The following is a 25965-nucleotide window of genomic DNA, read 5'->3' on the forward strand; positions in this document are numbered from 1 at the left end:
ATTTTCCTCCATATGAATTATTATTTCTAACAAATTATTTTTTGTGAAAGGACTTCAATAAGTTTACCTTAGATGCTCATAAGAGTTTAGATTACCAAAATAAAGGAATCAAGATTCTCAGGTTCATGACATAAAAACAAATACAAGCCTTCAAGTAATTCTTAATTTTTTGTACTTATATTATCTCAAAATCTAAAATATTTTTAACTACAAGTTTTCCTTAAAATTAAATTCTATTGAATCTAATAGGTCAAATTGCATTTTATTTTCAGGTCATCTGAAACATCAAAAGATTTTAATTCTAAAAGTTTAACAGTTACTCAGACTCCTAGATGAATAAACTAAAAAAAAAAAAAACTTTTTTTTTTTTTTTTTTACGAAGACAGGTCTCACTCTGCCACCCGGGATGGAGTGCGATGGCGTGATCACAGCTCACTGTAGCCTCAAACTGCTAGGATCATGGCATCCTCCAGCCTTAGCCTTTCGAGTAGATCGGACTACAAGCATGTGCCTGAAGCTAATTTTTTAGTATTTCACAGAGATGAGGTCTCACTATGTTGCCCAGGCTGTTCTTGAACTCCTGGGCTCAAGCAATCCTCCTGCCTTGGCCTCCCAAAGTTCTGGGATTACAGGCATGAGCCACATGCCTGGCCTCAAAAATCTTTTTAAATTGTGTGAGTTACTAAACATTGTCCTTTTGCCAAAACAGAAACAGTAAATGTATTAGTATTCATTAGTTCAGTTTTTTACTCAAAATGCATCTAGGATTTTTTTAAAGAAATATCTCACTCTACGGTACCTAAATGATTCCTAAATGGAAGCATATCTTTCATATGCTCTCCCAAAATTTTTGAGGCCTTTTTATATGAAAGACTTCTATATGAAATATCGGCCAGGCACGGTGGCTCGTGCCTGTAATCCCAGCACTTTGGGAGGTCGAGGCGGGTGGATCACCTGAGGTCCAGAGTTCAAGACCAGCCTGACCAACATGGAGAAACCCTGTCTCTACAAAAAATACAAAATTAGCTGGGCGTGGTGGCGCATGCCTGTAATCCCAAATACTCGGGAGACTGAGGCAGGAGAATCACTTGAACCTGGGAGACAGAGGTTGCAGTAAGCAAAGATAGCGCCATTGCACTCCAGCAAAACTCCATCTCAAAAAAAAAAAAGAAAGAAAGAAAAGAAATATCAAGATCAATTTACATAAAGGCCTGCTGGGTGGATAAAATAAGAGAAATCTAGTATATTACTTGCACTTGAATAAACTGTTAAAATCATCTTAAAAGCCCAATTTTAACACTAAAAGAACATTGTTAGGAATATTTATCTAGAAGATATTTGATTCACTCATTTAATAAATGAAGGATAGAGATTATAACAGGTAGATCAAGTCTAAAAGTTAATGTAATTACATGGCAGTACTAAAGTAACATCATCATAATGATCCAGACCTGTTTCATCTCACAGATGTATGGGTGTGGGAAAGAAAAATAAAAATCAACAGACTATGATTCATGTATTTTTCTACTTAGCCCCATATAATGCAAATTACAAAAACATAAAATAAACTGGTACATCTTATGGAGCATATTTTAGTAAGTACAGAGACCCCTTAGGGACTAATAAATGTACGCAGCCTGTCAAAGTCTATATAACCCCAAATATTTTTTTCACTAGAGAATAAAAGTATCCAGAATTTACCTACACATATAAAATCAAAATATTTTTAAATGCTTGAAGAATAAAAACAAAGGACTTCCCTTTTACTTCTGTTCAGTCACACATCATCAGCACTTCTACTTTAAAGAGTTTAAAGAACCCTTTAGTTCCCAGACCCATGTAAAAAAAAATTGTTTTTAATTAGAAAAAATAAAAATAAAGACTTGCATAAAATAGAAGTTAAAGATTCTGATTTCAATGTTTAAATCTTTTCTATGTGTGTGCCTAACCATTACTACCATTTGGGAGTAAATTAAACTTAATTTTAGTCAGTTTCAGAGTAAATGTCGGTAATTTACTATGAAACTGACTAAAATTAAGTTTTCTTGATACATACTGAACCAGACACAAAGCAAATTTAAGTTAAAAACAGGATAATAGATGAAAAGATGTCTTTTAAAATTAATTTAAATGTCATTATATCTTAGTATATCAATTCAAGTGAAATAATAATCTTTAAAAAGGGAGATTTTATTTTCAAATAAAAATATAACTCTGACCATATGTTTTATTTAAATTTTCAGGACTATAAACACATATGCATACTCAAGAGTCATCAAAATCCTTATTGTTTTACTTATGGTAATTTCTATTACATACCATGTATCTTTATAAAACAAATATAGAAAATAAACTTACATACAAAAATTATAAAATAAGTTTAATACAATTTACTTATAAGTATTTACAAGATACTTATTTTATAAGCTAAGAAAATTAGCATTAATATCAGCCCTGAATCACATTCAGTAATTTAAGAAAAAACAATCAATGAGTTCTCCTTTCTCACCTGGCCTGTCCAGTTGATAAGTTCCATTCCTCTCGCTGACCAGTACTTCGTGATTTTGATTTGTCTTTGCAAACAGAATCAGGTTGTTTCAAAGTGCGTTTGGCTGGAGGAGATACGTGGCTATCACTTAAACTACCATCAACTTCAACTTTCTGAAAGACAATGTTAAAAATGTATTTATTATTCCTATTAAGATAAATAGAATTGTTAATACTAGGGGCCAGGCAGTGGCTCACTCCTGTAATCCCAGCACTTTGGGTGGCCGAGGTGGGCGATCACTTGAGGTCAGGAGTTCAAGACCAGACTGGCCAACATGGTGAAACCCCGCCTCTACCAAAAAAAAAAAAAAAAAATTAGCTGGGTGTGGTGGCAGGCACCTGTAATTCCAGCTACTTGCTTGGGAGGCTGAAGCAAGAGAATCGCTTGAACCCAGGAGGCGGAGGCTGCCGTGAGCCGAGATCATGCCAGTGCACTCCAGCCTGGATGACAGAGCAAGACTTTGTCTCAAAAAAAAAAAAAGAATTATTAATATTCTTGGATAATCAAGCATTTCGTCAACCAATAAATTTTACTGAATTATACTACAAATATAGCAAAATGTATAATCTGTAAATATAAAAACAAGAAAGATTACATTTATAATCAGAAAAATATGTTGTTTCTTGTTTTTATTTTGAAAAATGTTCAAGAAAGGGCGTGTGTTCTTAAACGTTTGGTGTGATATATATCTTTTTTGTATGACACAATCCCTCAGACCCTCCTAAATACTCCAGTATGTACCTCCCAAAACAAGGGCACTTTGCTACATTACCACCATACAACCCCCCAATCAGGAAATGAACATTGGTATAATACAGAGTCAAACCACAGACATATTCAAATTTCACCAAATGTCCCAACAATGCCTCTCTTTCAGGTGCAGGATCCTAAACAGAAACACATATTGCATTTAGTTAATGGACCTCCTCAGTCTCCCTCAATCAGTCTTTCCTTCTTTCCCTATCTTTCATGTCTTTGACGGTCAAGAGTACAGGCGAGCCAGGTGCAGTGGCTCATGCATGTAATCCCAACACTTTGGGAGGCCAAGGCGGGGCAGATCACCTGAGGTCAGGAGTTCCAGACAAGCCTGGTGAACCCATTTCCACTAAAAATATTTTTTTAAAAAGCCAGGTGTGGTGGTACATGCCTATAATCCCAGCTACTCGGGAGGCTGAAGCACAAGAATCACTCAAACCCAGGAGGTGGAGGTTGCAGTGAGCAACCACTGCACTCCAGACTGGGTGACAGAGCGAGACTCCGTCTCAAAAAAAATTAAAAAGTACAGGCCTTTCATTCTCTAGGATGACCCTCAATCTGGGCCCAGCTGATGTTCCTAATAATCAGATTCAGGCCACATATTCTTAAAAAGAATATACAGAAATGATGCTGTGCATACTATACCTATCCTTCCCATCCCTAGGGATGTTAACCCTCATCACTTGGTCAACCTGGTGTCTGCCAGGTTTCTTCACTGTAAAGTAACTATGTTTTCCTTTGTATTTGATGTATACATTATGGGGGATTATTTTGATAATTCACCAATATCCTGTTCCTCATCAAATCTCTACCAACCAGCCTTAGTATTCATTGACTACTCTTGCCATTATCAAATACCACAAAGATAGTGATTATCTAATTCCATCATTCCTTCTACATTTGTAGTTGGCATTTTAACAGAGAGCTTAACCTGTCCCCCCAAATTCATTTATTCATTTATATTTTTATCAGTATCATGGATTCTTATTTTATTCTACAAATTATAATTTCCTACTCTATTTATTTTGTTGCTCAAATTATGTGAGATTTAGCTAATGTGAGCCCCTTCAAAGCAATTCCTGTGTCTTTTGACACATCCTCATCATTCTGAGTACTTCCTTACTTTCTGGCACAACTGAATTCTGTAGGCTTATTTTATACTTTCCCTCTCTGGCCCTAGATTAGCATTTCTCCAAGGGGCCTTGGTTCCTCTTAGTCAATGATAGTATTTAGAAACCAAAAGCTGGGCACTACGTGTGCTCACTGTTACTGAGGCGTCACTGCAATTAAGTGCTCTCAGCAGAGAGAGCTAAGGAATATATAAACATATAAACATACACATACATATATACCTAAATCTCTTTTCTTTTTTGAGACAGAGTCTCAATCTATGTGATCATGGCTCACTGCAGCCTCTGCCTCCTGGACTCAAGCAATCCTCTAGCTTCAGCCTCCCAAGTAGCTGGGACTACAGGCACCTGCCATCATGCCCAGCTAATTTTTTGTTGTTGTTAAGATGGGACCTCACTATATTGCCTAGACTGGTTTCAAACTCCTGGCCTCAAGCAATGCGCCCACCTCAGCCTCTCAAAGTGCTAGGATTATAGGTGGGAGGCACCACACCTCGCCCAGCAACTTTTAAAGGTCTGAACAAAAAATATTTGCCACCTATTGTCTCTAAGGGAGGCCACTGCATCTATGCAATAAGAATCTTGGTCTCCACAACCCTTTATCTTAACCCAGACACTCCTTTATACTGACTCCAGGTTTTTAGAAAATAACTCTTCCAACAAATTGCCAATTAGAAAATCTTTGAATCCACCTATCAGTTGTAAGCCCTCCATCTTTCCCGTCTTTCCAGACTGAACTGATGTAGACCTCACACGTACTGATTGATGTCATATGTCTTCCTAAAATGTATACAATGAAGCTATAACTCAACCACCTTGGGCACATGTTCTCAGGACCTCTTGAGACTGTGTCTTGGTCCATGGCTGCTCATATTTGGCTCAGAATAAATCTCTTTAAATATTTTACAGAGTTTGACTCTTTTTGTCAAGAAGTATCTATAATCCTTTTCAATATGCTACCATATAGAAATATCTGTGACCAGGCACAGTGGCTCACACATGAAATCCCAAAACTTTGAGAGGTCAAGGCAGGACGACTGCTTGAGGCCAGGAGTGCCAGACTAGCCTGGGCAACGTAATGAGACCTTATCTCTACAAAAAACTTAAAAATAAAAATTAGTTAAGTCAGGGGCAGTGGCTCATGCCTGTAATCCCAGCACTTTGCAAGGCCGAGGCGGGTGGATCACCTGAGGTCAGGAGTTCGAGACCAGCCTGACCAACATGGTGAAACCCCATCTCTACTAAAAATACAAAATTAGCCAGGCATGGTGGCCCATGCTTGTAATCCCAGCTACTTGGGAGGCTGAGGCAGGAGAATTGCTTGAATCCGGGAGGCGGAGGTTGCAGTGAGCTGAGATCATGCCATTGCACTCCAGCCTGGGCAACAAGAGGGAAACTGTCGCAAAAGAATAATAATAATTAGTTGGGCATAGTGGTATGCACCAGTGGTCCCAGCTACTCAGCGAGGGTGAGGTGGGAGGATCGCTTGAGCACAGGAGGTCAAGCCTGCAGTGAGCTGTGATCACGCCAAGCCTGGGCGAAAGAGCAAGACCCCATCTCAAAAAAAAAAAAAAAAAAGCCACAAGGCCACACTGGTACTAAAAGGCACAAAAGAAAAAATAATTGAAATTCAAATATGAGCATGTATATAATTAAGATGGTGTATTAGTTTTATAATACACCATCACTTATTAGGTTAAGTTCCCAAGAAAAGCCAGCTAGCTACTTCCAAACTATATTCAGCACAGGGTGGAAAATCATTTAAGATATACTTCAATCTTATAACAATCCTTTGTCAGTCACCATACTATACTCAAATGAGTGTTTTTAAATTTAGTCCTTTCATTTTTTTCTTTTTTTTCTCTGAGATGGAGTCTCGCTCTCTCACCCAAGCTGGAGTGCAGTGGCATGATCTCAGCTCACTGCAAGCTCCGCCTCCTGGGTTCAAGCGATTATCCTGCTTCAGCCTCCTGAGTAGCTGAGACTACAGGCACATGCCACCACGCCCAGCTAATTTTTGTATTTTTACTAGAGACCGGGTTTCACCATATTGGCCAGGCTGGTCTTGAACTCCCAAACTTGTGATCCGCCTGCCTCAGCCTCCCAAAGCACTGGGATTACAAGTGTGAGCCACCGCGCCCAGTAGTCCTTTCATTTCTAATACAGTTTTCTTACTTTTTTTTTTTTTTTTTTTTTTTGAGACAGAGTCTAGCTCTGTCGCCCAGGCTGGGGTACAGTGGTCTCGGCTCACTGCAACTTCCACCTCCCAGTTCAAGCAATTCTCCTGCCTCAGCCTCCCAAGTAGCTGGGATTACAGGTGCATGCCACCACGCCCAGCTAATTTTTGTATTTTTAGTAGAGACAGCGTTTCACTGTGTTGGCCAGGCTGGTCTCAAACTCCTGACCTCGTGATCTGCCAGCCTCGGCCTCCGAAAGTGCTGGGATTAGAAGCATGAGCCACCACGCCTGGCCTCTTACTTTTTATTTTATATTTTTATTATTTTATTTTATTTGAGACAGAGTCTCATTGCCAGGCTGTTCTCAAACTCCTGACCTAAAGAGATCCTCCCACCTCGGCCCCACAAAGCGCCGGGATTACAAGCATGAGCCACCACGCCCAGCTTTAGTTTTCTTTATACTAGCTCATCCACTCCAACCTGGTATATTTACAGACTCCCAAGGTTAAAGTGTGCATTAAAGGTCATCTAACTGAATTACTAATCCAAGACATTCTTTACTCCAATTCTGGTCTGTGAACCAACAACATGGGCATGATCTATTTGGAAGCTCATTAGAAATGTAGAATCTCAGGCTCCACCCTCAGATCCACTGAATCAGAAACCATTTTTAAAAGATCCCCAGGTGATTCATGTGCACATTAGAGTTTGAAAAGCATTATTATATAACATATTCAAGACGTAGTCACTGGACCGCCTGACTGCCACCATCATGAGTCGCATGTGCACTCCTGGGAAGGGCCTGTCTCAATCGGCTCTGCCCTGTCACTGCAAGGTTCCCACTTGGCTGAAGCTGACATCTGATGACATGAAGGAGCAGACTTACAAACTGACCAAGAAGGGTCTGCCTCCCTCACAAATCAGTGTGATCCTGAGGCTCATATGGTGTTGCACAAGTATATTTTTGTGACAGGCAATACAATCTTAAGAATCCTTAAGTCCAAAAGACTTGCGCCTGATCTCCCTGAGGATCTCTACTGTTTAATTAAGCAAGCAGTTGCTATTCGAAAGCATGCTGAGAGGAACAGAAAGGATAAGGATGCCAAATTCCATCTGATTCTGATAGATGAATTCACCGACTGGCTCAATATTATTAATACAAGACCAAGCAAATCCTCCCACCCAACTGGAAACATGAGTCATCCACAGCCTCTGCCCTGGTTGCATAAGTTTGTCTACGTACTCAAGTAATAAAATGATTGTTTATCGAAAAAAAAGGAGTCACTGAGGAAGCAACATCATGTATTTTAAGCTAGAGTGTATCTGTGATACAGAAACTAGTACCTATAAACTACTGTACCAATTTAGATAGCCCAGGCCAGCATTACTCCTTCCAATCAAATTTGATCATTCATCTTCAAGACCTATCTCAGGACCCTTTTTTTTTTTTTCTTCATGAAATCTCCCTGAAGAATCTAGCCTAAATTAAGCTTATCCCTGCTACTAGTTGCAGCCCTACTATACATTTGGGCACTTGATTATTTCAACTTAGCATTATATATTTATCATCTTTAAAGTGTCATGTCCAAGTCTTGAAATTCTAGCAAGATTTTAAGCTCCTGAATTACAAAAACGTACCCTATTTTTTAAAATTCCATGATAACAAGGAAAAACAACAAACAAAATTTCTGGAAATTTGTTCACAAATTATTAATATAAATTATTAGGGGCAAGAAAGGAGGGCTCATGGTGAATTAAGTTTGGGAAACGATGAGGTCCAAGGCTTTTTGCTGCAAAACTTCTAAGAGTATTATGATAACATGCAAAATAAATCTCTAAGGATGAAATAAAGTATGTAACATTTCACAAACTTATTTGATCAAGCTCTCTTTTTTCATGGAATATCTGCAGGTACTAGTTTCCCAAACATACTCTGGAAATAAGTACTATGTACCATTGAACTGAAGACAAAAAAAAAAGTAGTAAAATATTTGAATTTTTAAAATAATCCAAGTATATAGTTACTTGAATATCAATTTAAGTGAGTTTTGCACATTTATTTATTGGCCATTTGCATATTCTACTGGCTTTCAATTCCATTCAGAAGTATTTCTCAAACTGTTGTTTACATACTACCTGAATCAAAAATCACCTGCATTACTCATTAAAAATTACAACCTGCTGGACTGGAATCTCTGGAGGTGAAACGTTTTTAACAAGGGCTTCCAAATGATTCTTAGTACACAAAAGTCTGAGGACCTCTGGCATATAACATACTTCAAGTATAATACAAAGCACATCATCCTAACTGCTACAATGTACTGGTATATTTACTTTTTTTGTCACGGGAGGGTTTCAATCTTGATTTGGCTCTATGACAGAGACCTCAGAATAAAGAGGATTACCAAAGACTCCTTCCCTCCAAAGAAATCTAGGGATTTAAGTAAAGTAAGCAACCACGATGTAAACAGGTACAAAATAATTACTTCAGCACCATTTAATTAACTTCAAGCTTTGGGAAAGCTTCTACCTACAAACCTGATGCTAACAATTCACCCTTAATAGGATGATCATAACCCTCAACCTTAACTTTTTCATCTTCCCTCAAAGCATTTTACTAGCTAATGATAACCTAACCCTTTGAGAGAAGGCGTTACCAGTTTCATGACAAAGATATTTAAAAGATTATGCAATCTACCCACAGCCATTTAGCAATCTGTGTCACAGTGATTATAATCCATGAGTAGGAAAAGTACCTCAGGCATAAGGGAAATAATTTCAGTTAACTAACATTTACTGATGACCTACTATGTACATAAGACGTGGAAGGCAGTGGTAAAAAAGATGGATAAGAACTACTTGAGGCCAAGCACAGTGGCTCACACCTGTAATCCCAACATTTTGGGAGACCCAGGCGGTAGGATCCTTGTGGCCAGGAGTTTGAAACCAGTCTGAGTAACACAGCAAGACCTGTCTCTTTAAATAAATAAATAAATAAATAACCTATTTGATGTAGACTTTAAAGGATGTTTTTGGCCGGGCATGGTGGCTCATGCCTGTAATCTCAACACTGAGAGGTTGAGGTGGGCAGATTGTTTGAGCTCAGGAGTTCGAGCCCAGCCTGGGCAAAATGGCAAGACCGTGTCTCTACAAAAATATAGAAAAATTAGCCAGGTGTGCTGGTCCATGCCTGCAGTCCCAGCTACTTGGGAGGCTGAAGTGGGAGAATCACCTGAGCCCCAGCAGTTGAGGTTGCAGTGAGCCATAATCACGTCACTGCACTCCAGTCTGGGCAACAGAGCAAGACTGTGTCTCAAAAATAAATAAATAAATAAATAAATAAATAAATGTTGTTTTCAAGTCTTCTATAGAAGTGGGAATATGTATTCTAACAACTTAATAATGGGGCACATAAAATACCAGAACACAATCCAAGGATGAGATAACTTCCAAGAGAAGTATAATAATAATAATGTAAAATCCTACAGAAATTAAATAATGAAAAGATATAGTCATCCCCACTTAAGCAACTTTTTTAATTCTAACCTCTTTGAATAGATAACTTTTTTCAATTTGTAAAAACCATTCTCTCCTTGACTTTTACAGTCCCTTAAACCATACTCATCAGCTACCATAAATAGTGACTATTATTCTGTCATAAATCTTAAAAAGTGAGGCAAAAGAACTTGAGAATAACTAGAAATGAATAGATGCTGCTCTGGTTTTCAAGGAAGGCTTCATGCCCAGATCTAAATTTGTCAGAAATCTAAAAGCTGGATTTTAATCTAAAAACAAAAAGAATGAAGCCAAGTATAGCATTTAAAAATGAGAGATGCATGGAACTAAGTTAATTAGCAGACCACTAGATTAAATCAAAACTTGATGACGGCCTCATTTAGAATTGGGAAAATCAGAAAGAAGAAATTTAGTCCAGAAAACAAAATAACTAGATTAGCGATATCAGTGCTGTATTCAAAATAAATACAGTAAGGGCAGGTATAAAAAGTGCCGGTTGTTGTTGGTGGTGGTGGTGGTGGTGGTAGTGGTGATGGTGGTGTGGGGAGCCAGGGAACAGGTGATGACGGGAGAAGTATAATGCTGAATTAAAATTGGAAAGTTAGTTTGGAATTATAGCCAGAAATCTAAGGAGAGGTCTATCAGGCTATGGGAAACACACCTCTGAGTTGAAGTGAGTTAAGGAGCAGAGACAGATATGAAACATGGTCATAAAAGAAAATGATCATAGGTAACGTACAGAGTATAAAAACAGAAGGGCAGAAGTCAAAACCTTAAAAAAATGCCTAATTAATGGGGATAAGCACAAGAGATGTCATAAAAATCAGAGACAAATATAGTCTCTCACTAAAACAAGAGGAGTTAAACTGCTCCAAAAAGACTTTAACAGAAGAAAGCTGATAAACCTGAGGATTTGTAAGTAAGAGATCATTGTAACTTCTGACAGGGCAATGTCTGTGAAATGCGGGGTGGAAAACACTAGGTGAATAATGGAGCAAGTGGTGAGCAAGTACAGGTGATGACTACAGAGCTAGTCTTACAAAAGTGTCAGAATTAAAAAAGAAAGAATAGTTTAGACTTGGAGGAAAGGATTTTCCTTCCTTTTTTTTTTTTTTTTTCTTTAAGAAAAGACAACCTGGCTTCTTATAGAAAAAAGGGAACTGTAAGAGAGAATAAAACAAATTATTTAAAGAGTAAGTAAATGATGAGAGAAAACACCTCAAAGAGACAAAGAAAAAACAGAATAGGAACATTTTCCCCCAAGTTAGATCAGAAAATGTATGGGTACAAATCAATCTCTTCCGATTTCCTTATAGGACAGGCTTTTTGTATACTTTTTTTCTTTAACAAGTATTCCTGTTTTCACAAGAAAGCTTAGAAGTGCAGTCAATTTCTTTTTCTTTCATTTATAAAAGGAATGCACAGAGGCAGTGGTTACCATGACTGCAAAAAACAAAACTCTGCACTGCTATTTATTTATTTAGGGCCAACACTATTCTACAAAGTCCTGAAATGGCAAGCATATAAAATGTTCTAAATTTTTCTCAAATATTCCAAGAACAAGGGCTTACTAGTTTAGTATTTCTAAGCAATCATCATGAAAGAATACAGAAAGAGAAAAAAATACATAGAAGCGACCTGTTAGTTTAGGAGATACAGAAAGATTAAAAAAGTCTATAATAATTTAAAATGCATTTTCTTCCACATAAAAATTTCTAAAAGGTAGTTTCTAAAAATCTGAAAATATTACATTATTTAAAATAAGAAAGAGACAATGTAGGTACTGAAAAATGCCACATGGTCAGGCATGATAGCTCATATCTATAATCCCAACACTTTGGGAGGCTGAGGTAAAAGGATCACTTAAGCCCATGAGTTCAAGAACAGCCTGGCCAACAAAGGAGACTCTGAGACTTGTCTCTACAAAAAGTTTAAAAATTAGCCGTGAGTAGTGGCACATGCCTGTGGTCCCAGCAACTCAGGAAGCTGAGGTAGGTGGATCGCTTGAGCCAGGGAGGTCCAGGCTGCAGTGAGCCATGATTACACCACTGCACTCCAGCTTGGGTGACACAGTGAGACCCTGTTTCAAAAAAAGAAAAGAAAAGAAAAATGCCACAGACTCTGAAGTTGTACAGACAGGACCAATCTTACATTACAGCACTACCACTATAACTCAGAAACTACTATTTACCTCATGAGATTGTTAGAAGAATCAAGGAGGTACTGTAAGTAACAAATTTTATACCTACTGCCTCACAGTAGATACAATCTCAAGTAAGAATACTTGTTTGGCTTTATAGAATTAATGTAACTTCATAAGCTTATTAATTACTTTCAATAATTCATTCCTTCCACAAACAAAATTTATTAAGTGCCTGTTTTTGTGTTAGATACTAAAGATACTTAGCACTAAGGTAGTCCCTGCCTTTCATGGAAGTTAAAATTTAACTCCTTAAATTAGCTGGTAAAGGTATATGAAAATAGTGCTGATAGTATTGGGGAATGGGGTACAAATTGGTGTAGTCTCAGTGTAAAGCAATTTGAGAAAACCTATGAAAATTTAAAATACACATTATCGTTAGACCCAGTAATTCCACTTTATCTAAAAGAGAAAGGTCGGCTGGGTGCGGTGGCTCACACCTGTAATCCCGATACTTTGGGAAGCAGAGGCGGGCAGATCAGTTGAGGTCAGGAGTTCAAGACTAGCCTCGCCAACATGGTGAAACCCTGTCTCTACTAAAAATACAAAAAAAAATTGGCCGGGTTTGGTGGTGGGCGCCTGTAATCCCAGCTACTCAGGAGACTGAGACAGGAGAATCACTTGAACCTGGAAGGCGGAGGCTGCAGTGAGCCGAGGTGGCACCACTGCACTCCAGCCTGGGCAAGAGAGGAAGACTCCGTCTCAAAAAAAAAAGAAAGGTCATTTTCTGCTACACTATTTATAAAGTTAAAAGTATGGAGAAAACCTGCATGCCAACCGGTTAAATATGTGGCAGTATAATGATACAAAGAAATATTAGAACTATTAGAAAGGCTCCTGGTCGATTTGGGGTGGAGAGTTCTGTAGATGTCTATTAGGTCCGCTTGGTGCAGAGCTGAGTTCAATTCCCGGGTATCCTTGTTGACTTTCTGTCTCGTTGATCTGTCTAATATTGACTGTGGGGTGTTAAACTCATTTTATGAGGCCAGCATCATCCTGATACCAAAGCCAGGCAGAGACACAACCAAAAACGAGAATTTTAGACCAATATCCTTGATGAACATTGATGCAAAAATCCTCAATAAAATACTGGCAAACTGAATCCAGCAGCACATCAAAAAGCTTATCCACCATGATCAAGTGGGCTTCATCCCTGGGATGCAAGGCTGGTTCAATACACGCAAATCAATAAATGTAATCCAGCATATAAACAGAACCAAAGACAAAAACCACATGATTATCTCAATAGATGCAGAAAAGGCCTTTGACAAAATTCAACAACCCTTCATGCTAAAAACTCTCAATAAATTAGGTATTGATGGGACGTATTTCAAAATAATAAGAGCTATATATGACACACTCACAGCCAATATCATACCGAATGGGCAAAAACTGGAAGCATTCCCTTTGAAAACTGGCACAACACAGGGATGCCCTCTCTCACCACTCCTATTCAACATAGTGTTGGAAGTTCTGGCCAGGGCAATCAGGCAGGAGAAGGAAATAAAGGGTATTCAATTAGGAAAAGAGGAAGTCAAATTGTCCCTGTTTGCAGACGACATGATTGTATATCTAGAAAATCCCACTGTCTCAGCCCAAAATCTCCTTAAGCTGATAAGCAACTTCAGCAAAGTCTCAGGATACAAAATCAATGTGCAAAAATCACAAGCATTCTTATACACCAACAACAGACAAACAGAGAGCCAAATCATGAGTGAACTCCCATTCACAATTGCTTCAAAGAGAATAAAATACCTAGGAATCCAACTTACGAGGGATGTGAAGGACCTCTTCAAGGAGAACTACAAACCACTGCTCAAGGAAATAAAAGAGGATACAAACAAATGGAAGAACATTCCATGCTCATGGGTAGGAAGAATCAATATCATGAAAATGGCCATACTGCTCAAGGTAATTTACAGATTCAATGCCATCCCTATCAAGCTACCAATGACTTTCTTCACAGAATTGGAAAAAACTACTTTAAAGTTTTTAAACTTTAAACTTGGTTCATATGGAACCAAAAAAGAGCCCCCATTGCCAAGTCAATCCTAAGCCAAAAGAACAAAGCTGGAGGCATCACACTACGTGACTTCAAACTGTATTACAAGGCTACAGTAACCAAAACAGCATGGTACTGGTACCAAAACAGAGATATAGAACAATGGAACACAACAGAGCCCTCAGAAATAACGCCGCATATCTACAATTATCTGATCTTTGACAAACCTGACAAAAACAAGAAATGGGGAAAGGATTCCCTATTTAATAAATGGTGCTGGGAAAACTGGCTAGCCATATGTAGAAAGCTGAAACTGGATCCCTTCCTTACACCTTATACAAAAATCAATTCAAGATGGATTAAAGACTTAAGCGTTAGACCTAAAACCATAAAAACCCTAGAAGAAAGCCTAGGCATTACCATTCAGGACATAGGCAATGGGCAAGGACTTCGTGTCTAAAACACCAAAAGCAATGGCAACAAAAGACAAAATTGACAAATGGGATCTAATTAAACTAAAGAGCTTCTGCACAGCAAAAGAAACGACCATCAGAGTGAACAGGCAACCTACAAAATGGGAGAAAATTTTCGCAACCTACTCATCTGACAAAGGGCTAATATCCAGAATCTACAATGAACTCAAACAAATTTACAAGAAAAAAACAACCCCATCAACAAGTGGGTGAAGGATATGAACAGACACTTCTCAAAAGAAGACATTTATGCAGCCAAAAAACACGTGAAAAAATGCTCACCATCACTGGCCATCAGAGAAATGCAAATCAAAACCACAGTGAGATACCATCTCACACCAGTTAGAATGGCAATCATTAAAAAGTCAGAAAACAACAGGTGCTGGAGAGGATGTGGAGAAATAGGAACACTTTTACACTGTTGGTGGGACTGTAAACTAGTTCAACCCTTGTGGAAGTCAGTGTGGCGATTCCTCAGGGATCTAGAACTAGAAATACCATTTGACTCAGCCATCCCATTACTGGGTATATACCCAAAGGACTATAAATCATGCTGCTATAAAGACACATGCACGCGTATGTTTATTGTGGCATTATTCACAATAGCAAAGACTTGGAACCAACCCAAATGTCCAACAATGATAGACTGCATTAAGAAAATGTGGCACATATACACCATGGAATACTATGCAGCCATAAAAAATGATGAGTTCATGTCCTTTGTAGGGATATGGATGAAACTGGAAATCATCATTCCCAGTAAACTATCGCAAGAAAAAAAAAAACAAACACCGCATATTCTCACTCATAGGTGGGAATTGAACAATGATAACACATGGACACAGGAAGGGGAACATCACACTCTGGAGACTGTTGTGGGGTGGGGGGAGGGATAGCATTGGGAGATATACCTAATGCTAGATGACGAGTTAGTGGGTGCAGCGCACCAGCATGGCACATGTATACATATGTAACTAACCTGCACATTGTGCACATGTACCCTAAAACTTAAAGTATAATAATAATAAAAAAAAAAAAAGAAAGGCTCCTGGTCAACAGTGTGAGGGAAAAAAAAGAAATATTAGCCATCAAGAAAAATGAAATAAGCCAGATGTGGTGGCTCACACCTGTAATCCCAGCATTTTGGGAGACCCAAAGCATGGTGGCACATGCCTGTAGTCCCAGCTACTCAGGAGGCTGAGGTGGGAGATCACTTGAGTCTAGGAGGTCAAGGCTGCAGTGAGCCATGACTGCACCACTGCACTCCAGCCTGGGTGACAAAGTGAGACATTGCCTCCAAATATATATATATATACATACATACATACATATATATATATACACACACACACACATACATATATATATACATACATACATACATATATATTATACATACACACACATTGCACATGTACCTATGGGTATAACCTATGAGTTGTTTATATGTGCATATGTGTGTGACACACATATAAACCCATAGTACATGTGCCATGGTCAGAAGGATGTACAGCAGCTTTAACAGTGGTTATCCCTCGGAAGAACAAACTGGAGAAATTAGGGGAGCAGGGAAAAAGGCCCTTTTTTTCTGTGTACGTACATATTATTTGAAATATTTATTTCATCATAATGTGTAGAAAATAAAACAAAACAAAGTAATACTTATTTCATACTTTTTAAGTAAGAATAAAATATTTTTCCAAAGAGCTGAGGTTGAGTATTGCATAAGTTTGGGTTGTTTTTTTTTGTTTGTTTTTGTTTTTTTTGGTTTTTAAGAGATGAGATATTATTGCCAGGCTGGAGTGCAGTGGTATGATCATAACTCACTACAGCCTCAAACTCCTAGGCTCAAGCGATCCTCTCACCTTAGCTTCCCAAGTAGCTGAGACTACAGGCACACACGACCATACCAGGCTAATTTTTTGTTTTTTTAATAGCGGTGAGGTCTCACTTTGTTTCCCAGACTGGTATCAAACTCCTGGCCTCAAGTGATCCTCCAACCTTGGCCTCCCAAAATGCTGGGAATACAGGTGTGAGCCACTGTGTCCACTCTTGCATACTCTTTTTTTTTTTTTTTTTTTTTTAGACAAGAGTTTTGCTCTTGTTGCCCAGGCTGGAGTGCAATGGCGCGATCTCAGCTCACTGCAACCTCCACCTCCCGGGTTCAAGTGGTTCTCCAGCCTCAACCTCCTGAGTAGCTGGGATTACAAGCATGCACCACGATGCTCAGCTAATTTTGTATTTTTAGTACAGACGGGGTTTCTCCATGTTGGTCAGGCTGGTCTCGAACTCCTGACCTCAGGTGATCCACCTGCCTAGGCCTCCCAAAGTGCTGAGATTACAGGCGTGAGCCACTGCGCCCGGCCTGCATACTCTTTTATCTTCATTGTCTGGTCACTCAATTGCAGCAATTAAAGAAAGGCACTTTCATTCCCAGTTGAACTGCTACGAATTTTTTTAAAAGAGATGGTGTCAGCTGGGTGCAGTGGCTCGCACCTGTAATCCCAGCAGTTTGGGAGGCCGAGGCAGGTGGATCACCTGAGGTCAGAAGTTTGAGACCAGCCTGACCAATATGATGAAAGTCCTTCTCTGCTAAAAATACAAAAATTAGCTGGGCGTGGGGGAGCACGCCTGTAGTTCCAGCTACTTGGGAGGCTGAGGTACAATAATCGCTTGAACCTAGGAGGCGGAGGTTGCAGTGAGCCGGGGTCGCACCACTGCACTCCAGCCTGGGCAACAGAGCAAGACTCTGTCTCAAAAAAATATATAGGGTAAGAAGAGAGGAAGAACAGTGGAGGAGCACGTTAAAGAGTCTGTAGTTAAAGGTAACATAGGCCGGGTGCAGCAGCTCACACCTGTAATCCCAGCACTTTGGGAGGCCAAGGTGGGCAGATCACCTGAAGTCGGGAGTTCGAGACCAGCCTGACCAACATGGAGAAACCCCATCTCTACTAAAAATACTAGCTGGTCGTAGTGGCGCATGCCTGTAATGCCAGCTACTCGGGAGGCTGAGGCAGGAGAACTGCTTGAACCCAGGGGGCAGAGGTTGCAGTGAGCCGAGATTGCACCATTGCACTCCAGCCTGGGCAAAAAGAGCGAAACTCCGTCTGGAAAAAAAAAAAAAGAGGTAACGTTCTTTAAAGAAAAAATGAGAGTTAATTGGCTAGGCACAGTGGCTTACACCTGTAATCCCAGCACTTTGGGAGGCCAAGGTAGGCAGATCGCTTGAGCCCAGGAGTTTGAAACCAGCTTGGCATCTGGGTGAAACCCCATCTCTACAAAAAATACAAAAAATTAGCCAGGCGTAGTGGCACATGCTTGTAGTCCCAGCTACTTGGGAGGCTGAGGTGGGAGGATCACCTGAGCCCAGAAGGTCAAGGCTGCAGTGAGCCTTGATCGTGCCTCTTCACTCCAGCCTGGATGACAGGGTGAGATCTTATCCCAAAAAGAAACGAGAAGAAGAAGAGGAGAAAGAAGAGAACAGAGGAAGGGGACGGGGAGGGGGAGGGGGCGAAGCGAAGCTAATAAATACAAGTCTTAAGAACAATCACACATGCACACACAAAGCAAAACGTATAACTTAAAACCAGCAGTGACTCATGCTTATAATCCCAGCACTTTGCGAGGCCAAGGCAGGTGGATCACCTGAAGTCAGGAGTTCGAGAGCAGCCTGGCCAACATGGTGAAACCTTGTCTCTACTAAAAATACAAAAATTAGCCAGGTGTGGTGGTGCATGCCTGTAACCCCAGCTACTCAGGAGGCTGGGGCAGGAGAATTGCTCGAACCTGGGAGGCTGCGGTTGCAGTGAGCCAAGATCACGCCATTGCATACTCCAGCCTGGGTGACAGAACAAGATTCCATCTCAAAAAAAAAAAAAAAAAAGTAGAAGATGCACAAATTTGACTTAGTGAATATCTATAATCCTACACCCCTAACTGCAGAATACATATTCTTTTCCAGCATTCATGAAACATTTACCAAAATAACCATAAACAAAATAAGTCAGAACAAATTTCAAAAGACTGAAATCATATGCAGTTATGTTCTCTGAACACAATGGAATTAAGCTAGAAGTAATTAACAAAACTATAAACGGAAAGTAGGCCGGGTACAGTGACTCATACCTGTGATCCAAGCACTTAGGAAGGCCAAGGTGGGAGGATCGCTTGAGTCTAGGAATTTGAGGCCAGCCTGGGCAACAAAGGGAGATAACAAGACCCTTTCTAACAAAAAAAAATTTTCTAATTACCCAGGCCTGGTGGCACACACCTGTAGTCCTAGCTACTTGGGAGGCTGAGACAGAAGGATCACTTGAGTCCAGGAGTTCAAGGCTACAGTGGGCTACGATCATGCCACTGTACTCCAGCTTGAGTGAGAGAGTGAGACCCCATCTCAAAAAAAAACGAAAGGAAAAGAAATGCCCAACTGTTTGGAAAGTAAGCAACATACTTCTAGATAACCAATGGATGAAAGAAGAAAGCAAAAAGGAAATTAAAATCTATTCTAAAATAAAATTTACTTTAAAAAAAAACACCAGAATTTGAAAAATAACAAAAATAATTTCAACAACAAAAATTAGGTAGAATCTTAATATGGGGCCGGGCACAATGGCTCACATCTGTAATCCCAGCACTTTGGGAGGCCGAAGTAGGCAGATCACCTGAGGTTAAGAGTTCGAGACTAGCCTGGCCAACACAGTGAAACCCCCATCCCTACTAAAAATACAAAAATTAGCCAGGCATGCATGCTGGCCCATGCCTGTAATTTCAGCTACTCGGGAGGCCGAGACAGGAGAATCACTGGAAACCAGGAGACACAGGTTGCAGTGAGCCGAGATGGAGCCACTGCACTCTAGCCTGGGTGACAGGGCAAGAATCTGTCTCAAAAATAAATAAACAAATAAATAAAAAGACTCTTAATATGGAACAAGAGATTTTTGAGTATCTGACCAATCAATAAGTTCACATTATAACCCATCTCTTAATGTTTTCCATCATACATTTTTATTTTTCTACATCTAACAGAAAATATACATTTTTCCCCAGCACACAATAAACATTTACCAAAACTGACAATATATTAGGCCACAAAGAAAGCATCCAATCCTACAAAAGAAATATACAAACTATGTTAAGTGAGAGATGTTCCATGCTGTTAGACAGGCTAACAATTTGAAGGTGTCAATTCTCTACAGATTAAAATCTATGAATTCAATATATTACTAATCAAAATTCTAGTGGGGGCCAGGCGCAGTGGCTCACTCACGCCTGTAATCCCAGCACTTTGGGAGGCCAAGGCGGGCAGATCACTTGAGGTCAGGAGTTCGAGACCAGCCTGGCCAATATGGTGAAACCCCATCTCTACTAAAAATACAAAAATTAGCTGGGCGTGGGTGCACATGCCTGTAATCCCAGCTACTTGGGAGGCTGAAGCAGGAGAATTGCTTTAACCTGGGAGGTGGAGGCTGCAGTGAGCCGAGATCATGCCACTGCACTCCAGGCTGGGCAACAGAGCGAGACTCTCTTGAGAAAAAAAAAAAAAAAAATTCTAGTTGGATCTTCTGAGTAACTCTATAATCTCAATTGAAATTAAAATTGAAAAACAACCCCCAAACATCTAAGTCAACCTTGAAAAATAACAAAAAGGAGAAACTTGTCCTTTAAGATATTAAGACATAACTCAAAACCATAGTATGAAAAATAGTATTGGCCTGGTAGAACGGCTCATGCCTGTAATCCCAACACTCTGGGAGGCTGAGGCGAGAGGATTGCTTGAGCCTAGGTGGTCGAGGCTTCAGTGAGCTATGATCACGCCAGGGCACTCAAGCCTGGGTGACAGAGCAGGACCCTGGTCAAAAAAAACCACACCAGTATGGACCAGGCATGGTGGCTTACACCTGTAATCCCAACACTTCACGAGGCCAGGGCAGGAGTTCAAGACCACCTGGGCAACACAGCAATAACCCTGTCTCTACAAAAAATTTTAAAAAACAAAAAAAAAGTATAGTATTGCCATAAGCATAAACAGACCAACAGAAAAGAACAGAGAGATCAGAACAACATACGTGAGAACTTAATGTATTACAAAGTGGCACCACAAAGGACAGGTTGTCTATCAGAATGAACAAAATGAATCAAAAACCTAAATAGTAAAACTATATGTGTGTACAAAGTCACAATGTAAACAGTATCCTTTAGTGTGGGACCAAAAAAAAGTCAAAACTCACGAATCTCTAATTACTCTTGAAAAATAATAATAAAATAGGAACTCCAGTAGAAAATAGCAAAATGGGCAAAAACAAATCTTAACAGGCATTTTAGAGAGAAGGAAAGCAAAAAAAGTTAGTATGGACATAAAGAGTTACCCAAATAGTAACTAAAGAAAGGCTATTAAAAAGGTAGCTCATGCCAAATATTGGCAGGGAAGTGGAGATACAAGAACTCTCGGCCCGGCGCGGTGGCTCACACCTGTAATCCCAGCACTTTGGTAGGCCGAGGCAGGCAGATCATGAGGTCAGGAGATCGAGACCATCCTGGCTAACACAGCGAAACCCCGTCTCTACTAAAAATACCAAAAAAAATTAGCCGGGCGAGGTGGCGGGCACCTGTAGTCCCAGCTACTCGGGAGGCTGAGGCAGGAGAATGGCGTGAACCCCGGGGGGCGGAAACTGCAGTGAGCCAAGATCGCGCCACTGCACTCCAGCCTGGGCAACAGCGAGACTCCGTCTCAAAAAAAAAAAAAAAAGAACTCTCATACACTATACTCCTATGAGTGGAGATTAGAGCAGCACATATAGAAGTAATACTTACTTTAAGTACACATATACTTTTCCACTCTTGGTGTCTATCTCAAAGAAATTCCCACACCAAGTCTACAAGGGACATTGCATCAGGGTATTAACTGCAGCAATATTTGCAGTAGCAGAGAGTAGGAAGCAATTTAGGTACCTATCTCTTGAGGGTGGATAGTTAAAATGCAATTAATTGACCCTACAAAGTACTATGTAGCAGGTGGGAGTAGTGACTGTATGTATACAGAGTTACTACATGGATGAAAATATAATGTTAAGAGAAAATAATAAAATAAGCTCTATAGCTAAATATCACTTATGAAAACTTAAAAGACATATATATAAACCAACACAGTAACCAAGTATTCTATCATCTAAACATGTTAAATAGAGGGTTGAGGGCATTAATAATTATTTTGGGACAAGCATAAACTGTGCATGTGCCAGACAGGTCAGTACTATCCTAGGCTAATGGGGACATACGGTCACCCTACCTATTAACCACTGTTCTCTGTAACCCAGGAAAACAAAGTCTTGATTAAAAAAAAAAAAAAATCCAACTCACTATTTAAAAAAAAAGCGTATTGCTATATTGTCCAGGCTGGACTCAAGCCATCCTTCCCTGCTCAGCCTCTTGAGTAGCTGGGATTACAGGTGTAAACAACCATGTCTGACTACCGATTCTTTTTTTTTTTTTTTTTTTTTTTTTTGAGACAGTCTTGCTCTGTCGCCAGGCTAGAGTACAGTGGCGCGATCTCAGCTCACTGCAGCCTCCTCCTCCTGGGTTCAAGCGATTCCCCTGCCTCAGCCTCCCAAATAGCTGGGATTACAAGCACGTGCCACCAAGCCCAGCTAATTTTTTTGTATTTTAGTAGAGACGGGGTTTCACCATATTGGTCAGGCTACTCTCGAACTCCTGACCTCATGATCCGCCTGCCTCAGCCTCCCAAAGTGCTGGGATTACAGGCATGAGCCACCGCGCCTGGCCTCAATTCATTATTTTGCTTTTAACTATGCTGACTTCAGATCATCAGTGAAATATAAACCACAAAAATATGCTAAAACCCTTACATAACTTATTTGGAGGTTATGATCATTCATCATCATGGATACTTACAAACTAATTACATTAATAAGTAAAATTTTGTAACATAGTTTTATACCTTCTGTTACAATCTCAACCTAAGATCTCTTACAGACAAATTCTTCCAGAAGTACATAATGCCCAAACATAAAGAGTTAAAATCCAAAGAGTCAGTATTCCACACAGTTGTAAAATAGGGAATAGTTTTAGGTTAGGCTAAAAGAGTTCACTATTCTTTCATTATCTTGTCAAGGGTCAAATTTATTCCATAACTGATTCATCTTCACCACTTTTAGAGGAAAAAGTTTCCTAACACTAAAAGTTTTAAATAACAAATCAAAGTTTTAATCCAAGAAGTTTAATTTTCCACATTTCTCTGAAATTACATTCCTACCAAAAACAAAACACAATGGTTGACAATTTTTTTAACCAACTTCTAAATTTAAGTCCAAAAATAATGGCTGACAAGTTTTTAAAGTAATTTCTAAATTCAAGTCCAAAAATATCAGACCACTCCAATCATCCTAATACTCCAAACCCTAATCACAAAACCAGATCTTAGTACAGTCACTAACCAGATAATATGCAAGAAAGTTGTCTGGCACATAAGAATAATTCCCTCTAACCATAGGTTTCTGCCAAATCTCTAAAATAATATCCTATTTCTTCACTTAATTCTAAATTTGCCACAAAAATGTAGTGTTAAAGACCTTAAAGGCCCAAAAGGAGACAAGAACGGGTATAAACTTCAGATATAATGATTAAACAAAATTAACTTTAGGGTGCTTTTGGCCCCTCTCTAAAACCCACACAGGAAGTGAGCCTGGAAACAGCAGCCCCTAGGCAGGCTGCTAAGTCACCTAAACAAATGTAGATGAAAGGGCACTAGACCTGAGGGAAGGGCTATTTTTTTATGGCATGTATTTGTCTCCTCCACTAGACTTTAAGTACATACCATGAAGCAGGGACTGTGTTTTATTCTCCACCTGCTTTCACCCCAAACACAATGCTAGATTCTTGGGATTCAGACAAGCATAATGATACAACTCCAGGAGTGCCATTCACATAGACTACAGCGTGAATGGTGCTTCCTGGACTTCTATGATTTTGCAACTCAAAAAGAACCAAAAATGTTTGCCCACATGGCACTTACATTTTAGTGTAGTAGCTGCTCGATATTTACTGAATGAATGAATGAATGAACGAACAAAGGAACAAGCAAGCCTCACCATCAAAAACTAGGCTCTGGATTACCTCCAAATTTCTGTCTGGCAAGACTAGAGAACATACTTTCTGGGTATTTTAAGCACCACTCCTTTCAGGATTCCAATTTGGGTCCTAGAATACAGATATAAACTAACAATGCTAAAGATGTTTAATTTACTAATGCAAATCTTCACATATAAATATGCTATATAATGTCTTTTCAAGAGGTTTAAAGTATGAAACATTTTTTCAAATGGAAAACTTTACTCCCCCTAGAGATAGTTTCCCACAGCAATAAACGCAAATGTATACACTGTAAATTAATATCACCAAGTAGAGGGAAAGATAGTAGCACAAGTATACCTCTAATAGAGACCACAAGGCCCAGACTCTCAGTCTGCTTACCGGGATTTTTTTTTTTTTCCCAAAGCCAACTTAAAAATACTGAGAAGAGCCAGGTGCAGTGGCTCATACCTGTAATCCCAGCTACTCGGCAGGCTGAGTCAGGAGGACTGCTTGAAGCCAGTAGTTCAAAACCAGCCTGGGCAACATAGTGAGACTCCTGTCTGGAAAAATAAAAATATAGCCAGGCGCGGTGGCTCACGCCTATAATCCCAGCACTTTGGGAGGCCAAGCCGGGGGGATCACCTGAGGTCAGGAGTTCAAGACCAGCCTGACCAACATGGAGAAACCCTGTCTCTACTAAAAATACAAAATTAGCCAGGCATGGTGACGCAAGCCTGTAATCGCAGCTACTCGGGAGGCTGAGGCAGGAGAATCGCTTGAACGCCAGAGGCAGAGGTTATGGTGAGTCATTGAACTCCAGCCTGGGCAACAAGAGCGAAACTCCATCTCAAAAAAAAGAAAAAAAGAAAAGAAAGAGAAAAATATAAGCCAGGAGCAGTAGCTCACTCCTGTAATCCCACACTTTAGGAAGCCAAGGCAGGAAGATTTCTTGAGCCCAGGAGTTTGAGACCAGCTTGGGCAACATAGCAAAACCTTGTCTCTACAAAAAAAAAAAAAAAAAAAAATAGCCAGGTGTGGTAACACATGTCTGTAGTCCCAGTTACTCAGAGGCTGTGATGGGAGAATCCACTGAACTCAGGAGGTCAAGGCTGCAACGAGCTGTGATTGCACTACTGCACTCCAGCCTGAGCAACACAGCAAGATCCTGTCTCAAAAAATACATATATACTACATATATGCCTACTATGTACCCACAAAAAAAATTTAAAAATAAAAAATGAAACAAAAATATAAATATACACATATATAATATTAAGGAAAAATACTGCAAAAACAATCTCTGTACAATATGCCTGCTCCTCTCCCTACACACTGCCTCCTGAAATCAGGCTGCAGAAAATTACTGAAAATTATTGTCCTATATTTCATATCCCTATATGTTACTATTCATACTTTCAGTCCCAATATACTCCTAGACACCACAATTCCAGATAGGCAGGTAAAAGTTGTCTATAAACAGTAGGTATACTTACAGTATACAACAGCTGCCACCTTCACTTTTTCAGATTTTGGTGGAAACTACTGATTGAACAACATCAAAGAGTAATGATAAGTGAGGTAAAGAACTACAGATGAAACAAGATATACAAGTAGAGAAGACAAAACTAGATTTAAATATTACCTTTAGCCTTCCACAGGCCACTTAACCTCTAAGGCAACTCAGTTTCCTCAGCTATAAAATGCGAGTATCATCACTTGCCTTGCAGAGTTGTTACAAGGATTGAATGAGACAGCATTAAACAACACCTGGCACGTATGAGATGCTAAATAAACCTTGGTTTACTCTTCTCCTTATTAGGGCAAAATGCAACAAGTGAGTATAGCAAAAAAGAAAGATTGTCGGCTAGGCATGGTGGTGCACACCTGTAACCCTAACACTTTGGAAGGCCAAGGTGGGAGGATTGCTTGAGGCCAGTAGTTCGAGACTAGCCTGGCCAACATAAAAAGACCCCATCTCTATTAAAAAAAAAGAGAGAGAGAGAGAGATTGTCAATGTGAAAATAATTTAAAGTGAGTCATACTTTCCATTAATTCACTCAAAAAGTATTAACTGGC

The 25965-nt window shown here is 39.6% G+C and overlaps 1 protein-coding gene and 1 pseudogene across 29 annotated transcripts in view; one reads left to right on the forward strand and one right to left on the reverse strand.

Annotated features, from left to right (window-relative positions):
• Nucleotides 1-25965, reverse strand: part of ATAD2B (ATPase family AAA domain containing 2B) — a 249155-nt gene that overhangs the window by 215341 nt on the left and 7849 nt on the right. For all 29 annotated transcript variants that reach the window (XR_001738780.3, NR_125717.2, XR_001738782.3 and 26 more), the window contains exon 2: nucleotides 2510-2661. Coding sequence is in view for 26 of the 29 variants with exons in the window: in XM_047444799.1 (XP_047300755.1) it covers nucleotides 2510-2661 (152 nt within the window). In the remaining 3 variants the exon portion in view is untranslated. The remainder of the gene's footprint in view (nucleotides 1-2509; nucleotides 2662-25965) is intronic.
• RPS13P4 (ribosomal protein S13 pseudogene 4) lies at nucleotides 7384-7840 on the forward strand (annotated as a pseudogene).

This window comes from Homo sapiens, chromosome 2 (assembly GCF_000001405.40).
Source record: "Homo sapiens chromosome 2, GRCh38.p14 Primary Assembly".
In the NCBI taxonomy this organism is placed as follows: domain Eukaryota; kingdom Metazoa; phylum Chordata; class Mammalia; order Primates; family Hominidae; genus Homo; species Homo sapiens.